Raw genomic sequence first — 13,457 nt, forward strand, 5'->3', positions numbered from 1 at the left:
TGGTGCAAGGATTTTGCTGGCACCTTATTAAGACATTGCAAGAAACGCAGAACCCAGTGGACAAAGTTCAGGGTGCTAAGCTGACCTGAACGGGCTAACGCAAATGACAGGGCATAGCTGTGGGTAAAGCCTCTGCCTCTGGATTCTTGGCCTTCTCAACTTTCATCTAATGTCAAGAAAACTAATTTGCTTGCAAGTGAAAACACTGAGCACTTTTAAAGTGAGAAATGTGATGGTTTCAGGAGAGGCAGAGTGAGGGAATGAAAAGTTAGATGTGGGGAACAGTAGTTTTCAGTTCAAACTGCTGCTCCATCACTGGCATTTCCTTGAATAAAGTTTATCATTTAAGCCTCAGTTTCCCCCACTGCAAAAGAGGGATAACAATGCTTACAATGTGGGCTTGCAGAGAGGAAGCAGTGAGAAGACTGATGTATAGGAAAATAGCACAGCAACTGGCAGAGTAAAATTTCAACAGGTGTCATTTCCCTTTTGAAATTTACAGAAAGGGAAGGAAGGAAGGGAGGGCAGGAGGAAAAATAGTCATGGAATTATTTGCTTGGTAGGTGAGGGTAGACAGGTGCCAGGTCATGGCAAAAATTTGGGTGATATTAGTTTAGGGAAGGGATGAAGTCACCTGGAGAAGAGGCTGAAGATGCATTGTAGTCTTCACAGAGCAGATGCTCAGTCAAAGCAGCTCCTACTCTTGGACCTTCCCCCAGTTTTTAACACCAGCAAGGCTGGACTGTTCTAGGAGTCTGCCTCATCATTCCACCCACCCCACCCTTTCTCCTTCCCACTCTTCTTCCTATCCATCCCTTATACCTATTTTAGAACTCAGGTTGTAACTCCATGTTTTGATGCTCAGTTTTTCTAAAAGTCAGTCAATATTTTCTTGAAAATATACATGAGGTTGGGGTTGGTGGCATGATCTGCAGGCAGAAAATCATTATGCAAATAAGCTACTAATGGCTAAATTGAGTCTGACCTCAGTAACAGTGATAAAGGAAAGGAGATATCAATTGTGACGCCTGAGAAATGATAGTGCTAGTGTTAAGGGGAGATGGTGGTAGTTCCAGAGGTCTGTCATAAGACTGTGATCATTGGTCATCCATTCACTTACTTCTATTTATTAAATATACATGATTTACTGAGCATCTATAAACAAAGTCTTCTACCACATGAAGGAGATAGAAAACAAGAAATTATACAGTTGGTGTTATCAGTGAGATAATTCACATAAAACCTGTAGTATATGGGGCCCAGCTCAGAGTAATGACAAGATTCATGCTGGTGGTTACTAGTATTATTGTCCTTATTATTAAATACATGGCACCCAACCCTACATCGTGGGGTTGGGGAAGCTGGGGGCAGCATATATTTTGAGCTGGTGTCAGCAGCAGTAGTGGGAATTTGATGGTGGAAATGCTGTTGTCATGGGATAGAGGGCAGTCATCATAAAAACAGAGATGATGATATAGCGCTCTCTGTGCTGTGTCATCATCATGATAGCCAAGATGGGGCCAGGGATGGAAATTAGGAAGAAACATTGAAAACACCATCACAGACACAGAGCTCTCTAGAAACACTGGGAAAGAATATATAATTTACACACTCGTAGAAGCTTCCTGATTCTAATCCATGACTTCATCTCAAATATCTGACATTTGACAAGGAGGATTTTAGGATTCAATGCCCTCTTCCCTTGCCTTATCTCCTTTGTGAGGGGAAGGATCAGGCTGCAAGATGGCATTGCTACTTTAATGGCTTTTGATAGAACAAACAGATATGCACAGGTATAAATATACACAGAAAACCAGAAATCAAAGGGGAAGCATTTCTAAAAGCTTGCAATTATTTGTTTTTAATGGTCTCTTCCTATCTCCTTTTTCCTTTTAAAAACCTATTATTCTAGTTCCACATTAGCAAAAACTCAAGGATTTTTCAAAAACTCCTAACAAGATTTGGCATCAGTTCAGTACTTTGAAAAGGGAGTGAATTAGAATCACAGTAATGTGAAATTGGCTCCCATCAGCAGGATGACAGGATTCAAAACACTTTTGGGGAGGAGGGCAGGGGAACTTCTCAGAGTCAGTCATCTTTCTTTGCTGCTGTGCCTCTCTTGGAGGGGTTACCACTGCGGTCCAGATGGCATCCAAATGGTAACAAGAAATATTGGAGGGAGCTGAAATCAAGCAAGAGTAGCACAGGCTCAGGCTGAATGCAGAGCAAATCAGAGGAAATCACAAATGGAGAGATGTCACAGCAAAGGAAAAAATAGCCAGGAGGGCTTTGCCTGCTGCTCTGACAGCCGTTCCATGCAAAATGTTTTTGCTTTTCTTCTCCAGAGGAATGCAGATTTTACATACTTAGGAATTCATTTCCTCATTCACTTCTTCATTCTTGGATTTGATTATCAAGGCATTAATTTAAATAAGGAATAAACATTTCCCGAATGCCCATTATGAACCAGACACTATGCCTATCCTGTGAGCACTTAGACGGTGTCCATTCTCTGAGTTGTAACAGCAAAGTTAGGGAAACTGGAGAACACTAATTCAATTCAGAGTGTGAGAAGTGCCACAACAAGGGTACCAGGCTGAGCATTTTTACAGAGCATGTACAAGTTCATTGTGGCTGTGCTGTTCCCGGGACTGCAACCAACTTCATGTGAATAGCCAAAGCAAGAATTCCGTTTTTCTGTGAATGGAATTAGACTCGATTACTATCCTTGAATTTTTCTTTGTTGTAACATTAGGGAAATATCCATCTCATAAGACTGAGTTGAAGATTACCCAGGATAAGATTCAAGGTAACAGTTGAACATGTGCCTGACAAATAGTAAGGCTTCCATTAGTGTCTGATTATTTGGATCTTCTATTAAGTCAACAATTCAATACAGTATCCTTTAGGAATATGATGATTTTGTAGCACCTACTTGATGGGATTTTGAGCTGTTTTAAAAATTTCAGAATTGCAGAATAGAATTAGAAGAGACTACAGAAATCTCTAACCCAACTCATCCCTGTATTTATTTCAAATCAGGAAACAGAGACCTTCAACTTTCTCAAAAACATGATAATAATAGTGGCAGATTTGGGATGATGTAGCAACTTCCCAACTCCTGTTCTAGTTCCTTTTCACTCCACCATGGTTCCTCTCACAGTTGTATAGATTAAGAGGAGACCATCATAAGTCAGAGCAGAGAAACCTAGCTCACATTTTGTAACAAGGAAACAGGCTCAAAGGAAACCCTTGCTTGCTCATAGGGAAACCAGTAGTTTCCCTTGAGGGAAATGACTACTTCCTAGAGCTCTGAGGATCGAATGAGGCAATATTCACAACTAGATGACCTGGAAGGCAGCCTTAAGGTTTGAAGTCCAGAGGATATCTGAAAGAGCGTTATCCTCGACTGTTTTTGATTGATTGTAGAACTTGAAAATAGTTTGTGTGTGTCTTAATATCACATGCCCTCTGAATAAGTCTGTAGGTATATTCTTTACCATCTCAGGCCTTGGCATAAGACCTTTCCTCTGTCTGATCATGATTTCTACTTTTATTTATCAAGAAAACTATAACATACCCCTAGAGGACATGTTATCTCTAGTCAGCTCTTCAAAACCTCCATGACCCTCAGGATGGATTAGATGACTACCCTTGGCATCACACATGTCCAGGCACAATGACTATTACCTTCCCTCTTTTCTACTATAGCCTATGGCCTTGTAGAGACTCTAGTTCCTCATATGGGAAACTGTCTTATTCATCTTTGATTTTCTAGTACCTAGATGGCCTAGTGGTCAGCACACAGAAGGAAATTATATTGAATTGATACATTTTAAAAAACAAAATGAATAAATGGATGAACTTCTTTATATAATACAATAGAAAACTGAACAGAAAGAAACTTGGTGATAGCATGACATTATATGGAGGGTATGGCATTCCATATGTTGTTTTCAAATGCTTGGCATGTATGTGCATGCATGCACACATACACACGATCACACACACACATACATACACACACACACACACAATCACAGAGATATGGCATTTGTTATTAGGAACTCCAGAAAAAAGCTGTCACATCTACCCTGCCATTTGGCCAAATGGGGCTTTACAATTAGGATAAATTACTCCATTTCTAACTTCAAAGAAATACTAGGCAGAAGTTCCAGAAAAAGTTATAAGAACAGGGATATGATGCCCTCCTAGCCCTACTAATATCTGGATGGCATTTTCAACTGACTCTTCAAGCTCCTTCCCAGTGAGACCCATCAGTGGTTCTAGTGTGTCAGCAATCTGAGATAGTCTTCGCTACTGAAAGTCTCGCCAATATCTGATCAGGACCATTTTGGATTTTAGCAATTAGTGGGTGACTATATCCCATAATTTTCAGCCTCTCAAACTTAACATGTCCAAAGAACTTTTGATCTCCCCAAACGTGTTCTTTCCTTGTCTTCCAGTCTCTATAAAGGCCACCAACTCACACCTAGATGCTCAAGTCACAAGCTACTTTAGATTCCTCTCTCTCCCACACTTTGACATGTAAGCTTTCATGAAGAAATGCTGATTCTATCCCTGAACATATCCCAAAGCTGTCTGCCTCTCTCCCTCTTCTCTGTGGCATTCTCTTTTGCCCAAGAGTGCTGCTTCCACTTTTGCCCACTTAAGTTCATCTCCCAAAGAGAGGTCAAAGTGGTCTTTAAAAAATATCAGATGAGGCCGGGCGCGGCGGCTCACGCCTGTAATCCCAGCACTTTGGGAGGCTGAGGCGGGCGGATCACCTGAGGTCAGGAGTTTGAGACCAGCCTGGCCAACATGGTGAAACCCCATCTCTACTAAAAATACAAAAATTAGCTGGGTGTGGCAGTGCATGCCTGTAGTCCCAGCTACTCAGGATGCTGAGGCAGGATAATCTCTTGAACCCAGGAGATGGAGGTTACAGTGAGCCGAGATTGCACCACTCCACTCCAGCCTGGGTGACAGAGTAAGACTCCTACTCAAGAAAAAAAAAAAAATCAGATGAGGTCTCTTATTGCACTTGGAATAAAATCCAACCTCCTCACCACTGCCTACAAAACCATCCACACTTGGGGTGTCAACTGTTCTGAACTTGCCTCCACCATTCTCCCCTTTCCTACCATGTTCTCCCTTCATGGTGAGTCACTGGCTCATTCCTGCCTCAAGGCTTTTGCCCTTGTCTTTCTCTGTTCCTGGCACACTCTTCATCTGATTGGTTCCTTCTCCTAATTCAGACTTGGGCCAGGTGTCACCTCCTCAGGGAGACCTTCTCTGACTCCACCTAATGCAGGAGTAGCCCCAGCTCTTGTTCATTGCCTTGTTTGGTTTTGTTTCAAGCACTCACTGCTCTGTTTGTCTGTTTCCTTTTCTGTTGGCAGCCTTTCCCCGTGGAAGGTGACCTGGGTTGGGACTTGGTTTGACTTGTACCTGTGCCTAGCTCAGTGCTTGACACACAGTGGACACTAGACCTTATTTGAAAAATGGGTGAAGGAATGAATGCTTGAGCAGAGCAATGCATAAGTGACCAGAGACTGGTTCTAGGAGGCATCTTACAGTATTACAGAAACTATAAAACGATAACAAAAAAGACACTTCATGCAAATACTACAGGGAAAGGGAACTCTATGTTTGCCACTTTGACATCTGTGCTCTGGCCTCGGGCTTGTTTTCCTACTTGTTCTGGTGCTGGACACCTTATCTCTGAGGACCTTGTAGCTAGGGAATGAAGAAGGCATAGTTAAGGAGATCTTACCATAGATACCAAAAGCAGAAAGTGTCTTTACTCACACGTTTGCTATATCTGTTCTATGAAAAACCTTTTTAATTAAAAGTAGCCCATATCTCCTTAGTAAGGTCACGGGTGGTTGGGATCATTATTTCTTGTTTTGACAAATCCACAAAGAAGACAAAAAAAGTACATTCTGGACTCAAGAGGAAGGAATGGGTCACAGGGTAATATTAAGACCTCCTCTCTTCTTGGCCAGGCAGAGGTCACTAAGGACAATAATAATTATAGCTAATGCTTAGATGGAACTTCCTCTGTATGAACCAGACACCATTCTATGTGCATTCATATATTACCTCATTTAATTATCGCAACAAACGTGAGGTGCTGTTACTCGCCTTGTTTCCAAGAGGAGGAAACCAAGGCACAGAAGGTTTAATTAACTTGCCCAGGGTCACACAGCTAGTAAATGACCGAGCTAGAATTTTCACCTAAAGTGGGTTAGCTTTGGAGTATGTGCCCATAACAATTATGTTATAGTGAGGAGAACAAAAGGTATAAGACGACCTGTGTTTTAAGACTAGGGTGAGTGGTTAGGGTTCTGGAAAGGGCAGCCATGGTGGGCAGTTTAGGAGCTTGTCCTGTTCCAGTCTAACCCAATTCTCTCTTGGAGGACCATGGCCAGATCATAGTATAAGGGCTATCCCTATAACAATGGCAGGAGGAAGGAGGCTAGAACATCCTAGGCGACTGTGGAAACAGCAACATAGAAACTGCCAAAGGGACAAGGCTACAAGGTTTTAAAATATAAGAAAGTAGGGTGGCGGCTGGGTGTGGTGGCTCATGCCTGTAATCCTAGCACTTTGGGAGGCCAAGGCAGGCGGATCACTTGAGGTCAGCAGTTTGAGACCAGCCTGGCCAATATGGAGAAATTCTGTCTCTACTAAAAACACAAAAATTAGCTGGGCATCGTGGCACATGTCTGTAATCCCAGCTACTTGGGAGACTGAGGCAGGAGAATCACTTGAACCTGGGAAGCGGAGGTTGCAGTGAGCTGAGATCACACCACTGCATTCCAGCCTGGGTGACAGAGCGAGACTCCATCTCAAAAAAATAAAAAAGGAAAAAGAAAGAAAGTGGGATGGGGAACCCTGAGTATTGGGCTGACAGCATGTAATGGTGAAAAAAAGGATAATTCTAGAGATAAGGACAGCAATACTGCTAACCTGCTGGAGAGAAACATAACGATATGCTGACAGAACTTCTATGATAGGCAGGAAGATGGGAGGTGGAGAAGAGAGAAAGTGTTGTAAAAAGTGAGAGTGAATGTCACCTTAATAGCAGACCTTCCTTTCGGCATAAGTAGAGAAGCAAGGGATTTATCCTTCACAATCAGACTCTATTTCCCTCTCCTTAGCATCTCAACCTCAATCTTCTTATCCATACAATGGAGAAAATAATAGTTGTCATCTTAATTAAACTGGATAAATTTAGTTGAGAATCTGAATCAGCTGGGGGAACTTTGTAAATCTCTCTTTATATATAAATAGATGCAAGCCTTACAAAAGCAGATCTATCGAATTGGGGCTAAGGAAGTTGTGTTTTTAAAAGTGTCAAAAATGATTGTTAAGCAATGAAGCCTTTGGATTCCCTGAAGTAGATACAGCTTGCCAAGCACTAAGCACACTTGCTGGCCCCTAGTAAGCGCTCAGCAAATATTAGTTTCTCGCCTCCTTTCTAAGTCACTGCAAAAACAAGTTTTGTATCCTTTGGGTTGTGACTGTCACCAATATATATTTTCTTATTCCCCATGATCATTTATTTAGCTCTTGCTCCTTTTTTTTACACTAGACTTTGTTCATTATTCTTCTGCATCCACTAATAATGGCAGTTAAGGAGAAAGAAAGAACCTCAACATGATGATTTATCCAGAAAAGCTGAATTACTGTACTAAGAGAGAATGAGTGCCAGCATCAATGGATATTTATGGGGAAACTGTATATTACAGCTCTGCTCGTTAGAGATGCTGTAGTTAAGGTTCTGTGAATGTTAATGATCTGTATTACAGGAATAATGACAGACTCACAGCAGCAGCAGCAGTTAACAGATACCCCTGAATCACATTTTCTCACCATGTAACAGATCTCCAAGTGATCTGATTTATGTCTACCAAAGGAGCAAGCATGCATCAGGGAACCTGCATCTTGGAGGGAGTACTATTGTTGCTTCAGCACAGGTAGCATTATGGACAAAGAGTTTCAGGGACAAGAAGGATAGAAGCTTCTTGCCTTCTGTTTGAAATCTCACATGTTCTGGTCTCAGAGGCAGTTTGGCCCAGCAGGAAGAGCAGTCACCAGCTTTGGGTAGGATGACCCTAAATCCTGGTTTGCCTAACACAGCTGATATTTATGCCTATTGCCCTGACATAATTGTTAATAGCAAACCCTTTTTCACTTTCAAGAGTGCCCAGTTTGGATGATAAACTAGGTCACCTGGTTGTAGGGTCAAAGAGAGGTGGATTAGATTCTTAGTTATGCCTCTTCTAGCTGTTCTAACTTATTTAACTCCTCTGATCTTCAATATCCTTTATGGTAGAGAAGAGACCTAATCCCAACAATAGTTTGGGAGAATAACGAAATAGCACATTAAGTGCCTAGCACAGTCCATTGCTTGGTGAGGTTTCAGTATTTGGTAGTTACAATTGCTTGTTATCCCTGTCTGTTAAGGACTGGATGTTTGGGTCCCTCCCAAAATTCGTATGTTAAAGCCCTAACCCCCAGTGTGAAAGTATTTGGAGATGGGCCCTTTAGGAGGTAATTAGGGCTAGATTAGGTAAAGGGTGGTATCCTCATGATACAATTAGTGGCCTTATAAGAAGGGGAAGAGATCTCTCTTCCTCTCTCTGTTCCCACCCCCTCACTACCAGATCCACACTCTGAGGAAGGGCCGCATGAGGACATAAGGAGAAGTTGGTGGTCTACAACCCCAGGAGAGACCTCTCACTAGGAATGGAGTCCGCTAGCACCTTGATCTTGGACTTCACAGGCTCCATAACTCGGGAAAATAATTTTCTGTTGTTTAAACCACCTCGTCTGTGGTATTTTGTTATGGCAGCCCAAGTGGATTAAGACATGGCCCCATAGCTATGGTGCAGCCCCTGCAGCTTCGGCCCCATCCCAGGCTCTCAAGTTACACTTGATCTTGTTGACACTATTGCTTGAGCATGGAGACCTGCAGGCCCTCCAGCCCCATGCTCTATACACCAGTCTTCCTTCCTCCAGTAGACTAAAACCATCTTCGTCGCTGGGGCAGGTCTTGCTCATCCTTATATCTCTTAAAGCACTTGGTATAGTCCTTTGTCTACATCATAGTTCATAATAATAACTCTGGCTGACATTTATTGATTGAGCACTTACTATATTCCAGGTGCTGTTATAAATATCTTATGTGCATTACTTTATTCAATTCTTAAAAGAACTCTATAAGGTAGTTACCACAGTCATTATCCTCATTTTACAGATGAATACACTGAGGCACAAAGAAGTTTAAATAACCCACCCAAGGTCCCACCGCTGGTAAGTAAGGGATAAAAATTTCAAGCCCAAATAGTCAGGCTGCAAAGCTCATACTCTCAACTGTAATACCAAGTTCCCTATCAATTAACCAGTCCCTACTCTATATCAAAGACAAAAGTAATTACATCTCTTCTTATTTAATCCACATAATAACCCAGGGAAGTAGCTCTTTTCATCTTGTTGACTGGTCACTAAAAATCCAAAAGATAAAGCAACTTGCCTAGAATCATACAGCTAATAAGTATAGGCTCCAACTAACTTCAAATTTCATGTTCTTTCTGTAGTTTTACAGCCTCCCAGAGAGCGGTCTTCCAATCTCTGTTCATGAATTACAGAATAATGAAGTCTTAGATGGGAAATAACCTGAAAAACGTCCTCGTCTGTCCTCTTCACTTCTCCTACCCACGTAATAACGAGTGGATTATTCTGGACAGTAGTTTTCATACTACCTTCTCTGGATCTCTTTCCTTCTAGAACTTTCTATCTTTCAGAGTTAGTAGGTGGGGGGGCTTCACCTACTAGTAGGTTTTGAGGCTCCAACTCAGCTTCAACTATATCTCCTCTTTCATCTGTTTATATAGCAGGATACCAGGCATGTTTCATTTGAATAATTTTGGAAAAAGTTTGAAGGCTACTCTTCCAGAGGACCAGTGGCCTGCATTGTAGCAGAGAGACGGGGTGATCACTGTTATTCAGACATGCTTTCTTTACAACACACAACTGAGCAAACAAGACAGCAGGCAACTGCATATGCGACCACTTATCCCTTTCCCGATTTGCATTTGTGGAAAACAAGTTTCAGATTTAACAGCGAGTCTTTTACAACTCTGCTTGACTCCATTAATGACAGCTCAGTTTTTCAACGTTGCAAGAAAAAGAGCCAGATATCATTCAGAGTGATAATGTGACAACCCAAATGTGAGTCCTGGACTGAGAACAGAACGGAAGATGAAAGGAATTAATGCTGTCTTTGGCTAGAACCTGAAGACAGCAGGTGGAAAGGCTGATGTACAAACAGTCTTAGAAGTTAGAGACGTACTTTGGGAGGCCGAGGCAGGCAGATCACGAGGTCAGGAGATCGAGATCATCCTGGCTAACACGGTGAAACCCTGTCTCTACTAAAAATACAAAAAAAATTAGCTGGGCATGGTGGCGGGCACCTGTAGTCCCAGCTACTCGGGAGGCTGAGGCAGGAGAATGGCATGAACCCGGGAGGCAGAGGTTGCAGTGAGCAGAGATCACACCACTGCACTCCAGCCTGGGCAACAGAGCAAGACTCCGTCTCAAAAAAAAAAAAAAAAAAAAAAAAAAAGAAGTTAGAGACGGAAATTCCCATGCATGTAACTGACAGAGCCTACAGGGAGGAGACAGGGTGCTTGGTCCCTGTCTTCTGGTTACTTGACCTTCCAAAGCATGTCACCTCAGAGCTAGCTCCAGCTCCCTGTTTGTCTCATCCCAGTCATACACTCAAACTCATCTCGCTTTTTCATCTGCAATGCCTGCCCCTAGGCTACACCCACAGCAGCCCTCACATGCCTCCCCTTAACCTCTTTGCCCTCAGACCCATTCTTGCCCTTCCTCTAGTTTGTACTGTAACACAGGAGGCTGATTGCCATAAACTGCATTGCCTGGGCTCCTTTGCCAACACACTTCCACTTTGATTTGGTCAACAAGGAGGCAGTAGTTGGAATTTGAATAGTGGGTAGAAGGAAGAAGCAGTGAGTTCTCTCCCAGCTCTCTTCTGGCAGTATTTGTGGCAGTGGCTGAGTCTCCTGCAGGGGTTTAGCTTCCACCAGGCAGCCCCTTTCTCTGTCCTCTGGGCTCCCACTGGGCAGTGCTCTCTCTCTGGTCCCAGTGCCTGCTGGCTCTGCTAACACTGTCTCTTCTGTCCTTCTATCCCTAAGGACAGTAGCCACTTCTGATTATTATTAATCTGGGTTGCCCTGCTGTCCCTTGTTTGGTTTTTCCGCTCTTCTAACACCTTTGTAACTAGTTCCTCATATTAGATCCCCTCTATTAAACTACCTGGCATGGGATCTGTTTTTCTGACTCTATCCTGAATGGATACACTTAGATGATTCCATTAGCTTCTTAATGGTCTCCTGACCTGCCAAGCCACCTGCCACAAGCCACCAGAGGTACACTGAAAAAAGCAAAACTGATGTTGTCATTCTAACACCTGAAAGCATCAGTGACTTCCTAACAGCTCCCAGATTCTCAGCACCACATTTCAGACCCTTTGCTCCTTGGGGGCTTCCCTTGGCATCCTCATCTCCTGCTCCCATGGAGGCACCCTATGGTCCTGCCACCTCAGACTTAGTCATCAGCCCGTGTGACATGACAGGCTCTTCTACATTGCCATGCTTTTAAACATTCAGTTCCTTCTTCCTGAATACTGTTCCACCCTTTCTCCAGAGACAAACTCCCCTCATCTTTTAAGATTCTATTCAAGCTCTATACCCTGGGTGAAGACATCATTAAACTCCTTCAGGCAAAGTTTACTGCTCCCACACTATGCTCTCATAGCATCTTGTACACAGCCTCTCACACCCTTGATTATATGAATCACAATTATTTTTATAGGTCTATCTCCTTGAGACCATGACAATTCTAAAGCAGCCTATCTTTATATGCCTAGTGAAGAGAATGTTGTTTGGTAGGGCACAGGTTTTTAGTAAATGTTTGCCCAATGGAGGAATAAATGAATAAATAGAAATTGTAAGGGAACTCAAATAGAATAAGGGTTTCTAGCAACTGGAGCTCTGGGATTACAAAAGTAATGAAGGTCTGTCATTGTAGGTATGTGAGCTCAAGCCCAATATTCAGCAATGTTCATCCACACCTATCAAAAATACTCTTGAGAGATTCTTGCATTGGAGGAGAGGCGAAACCAAATAACCTCTTTTTAATGTTGCTGTTAACTCCAAGACTCTAGAAATTCAGGATTCTATCTCAGGACAATGTTTGTTAAGTATGGCTAAAAGAAAGCTCATCTAAGAAACATCAAAAGGGACAACCTTATATTTCATTTGTGGGAATATGCAGATTCAAATTCCCTTCCCTCACTTCAGTACAACCTCCTCTTGTGTGACATCTATGTTAACTGCATTGTAATAATTATGATTTTTCTACAATGTGGTGCTTAATGAGGAAGTGAAATTGACAAACGTTCAGACAAGATTTAATCCAATTATCCAACATCTTGATCCAGATTTCAAACTAAAGGAAAAACCAACTGTTCAATTGTGAATGAAAATTTATTTGCCATAAAAGATGGGAGTTGTGGGGGGGAAGTAGGGAACAGTTGTCCAGAGAATTCTTGCAATTCTTCACATTAATGGATTGAAGCTTCTGACATGTGCAGCAGGGAAAATGAATTAAATCTAAGGCAAGGAAAGTCAACCAAATACTGATTGCTTGGGGACAGGGTGTTTGCAGGATGGGATGCAGGGTGGCAATATGAGAATCTTTCTAAGCTTGAGAGGTGAGTGGCTTTCATTAGATTTGTTATCTGGGGTTCCCAAACATCTCTTCAACATCCAGTATGAAGAAAGCAGTGTGCCAGACAGAGTGAAGCTTCATGGATGACTTAGACATGTGCATGCCTGCTTGGAACTCAGTCTAAAGAAGGAGAGAGATGTTCACAGCTAGCTGGGGAGTGCTGGGCCTCATAAGGTGCTCATTATAAAAACTCTAGAAACAGCAAGTAATGGAAGAAGAACATGAGGCTGAGTATTAATTCCAACTAAGCTAAGGGTGAGGAGATGGAGGGCTGTGCATTTCCTTTCATCATAAAGGCAGTAGGTTTTAGTAGAAATTGTTTGGGCCCCTGACTCAGAACAAGCTGGGGTTCAAATTCTGGCTCTGCCAAGTACTAGAGCTTTGTGATTTGGGTGAGGTTTATGACATCTTTAAACACCAGTTTCTTTATATGTAAATCACGTCTACCTGCTAGGGTTGTGATTACTGGGGGCGGGGGGGCGGGGGGAAGCTGAATCAAGAGCCGAGGCTGTCCACAGCATACAGCAGATGCTCAATAAAGTCTAGCTACTTTTTCTACAGCAAAATCAACCTTATATTCTTAGTACATATGGTTAGTGGCTTGGCATTATACAACAAAGAAAGAAACTGAG

General features: G+C 42.4%; 1 protein-coding gene and 1 long non-coding RNA gene across 11 annotated transcripts in view; one reads left to right on the forward strand and one right to left on the reverse strand.

The window, feature by feature from the left end:
• The window catches only part of LOC105378748 (uncharacterized), a 32,737-nt gene extending 22,308 nt beyond the window's left edge, over positions 1-10,429 (forward strand). Inside the window, exons 3-4 of one of the 3 annotated variants that reach the window (XR_007066124.1) lie at positions 9,269-9,730; positions 9,906-10,429. This is a non-coding gene — a long non-coding RNA (uncharacterized LOC105378748). Of the gene's footprint in view, positions 1-9,268 lie in introns of all 3 variants that reach the window. The other 2 variants (XR_001737649.2, XR_007066123.1) reach the window with 2 other exon arrangements.
• Positions 1-13,457, reverse strand: part of DAB1 (DAB adaptor protein 1) — a 1,551,949-nt gene that overhangs the window by 44,064 nt on the left and 1,494,428 nt on the right. The gene's annotated exons all lie outside the window — the stretch shown is intronic.

Source organism: Homo sapiens, chromosome 1 (genome assembly GCF_000001405.40).
Source record: "Homo sapiens chromosome 1, GRCh38.p14 Primary Assembly".
Lineage (NCBI taxonomy): Eukaryota > Metazoa > Chordata > Mammalia > Primates > Hominidae > Homo > Homo sapiens.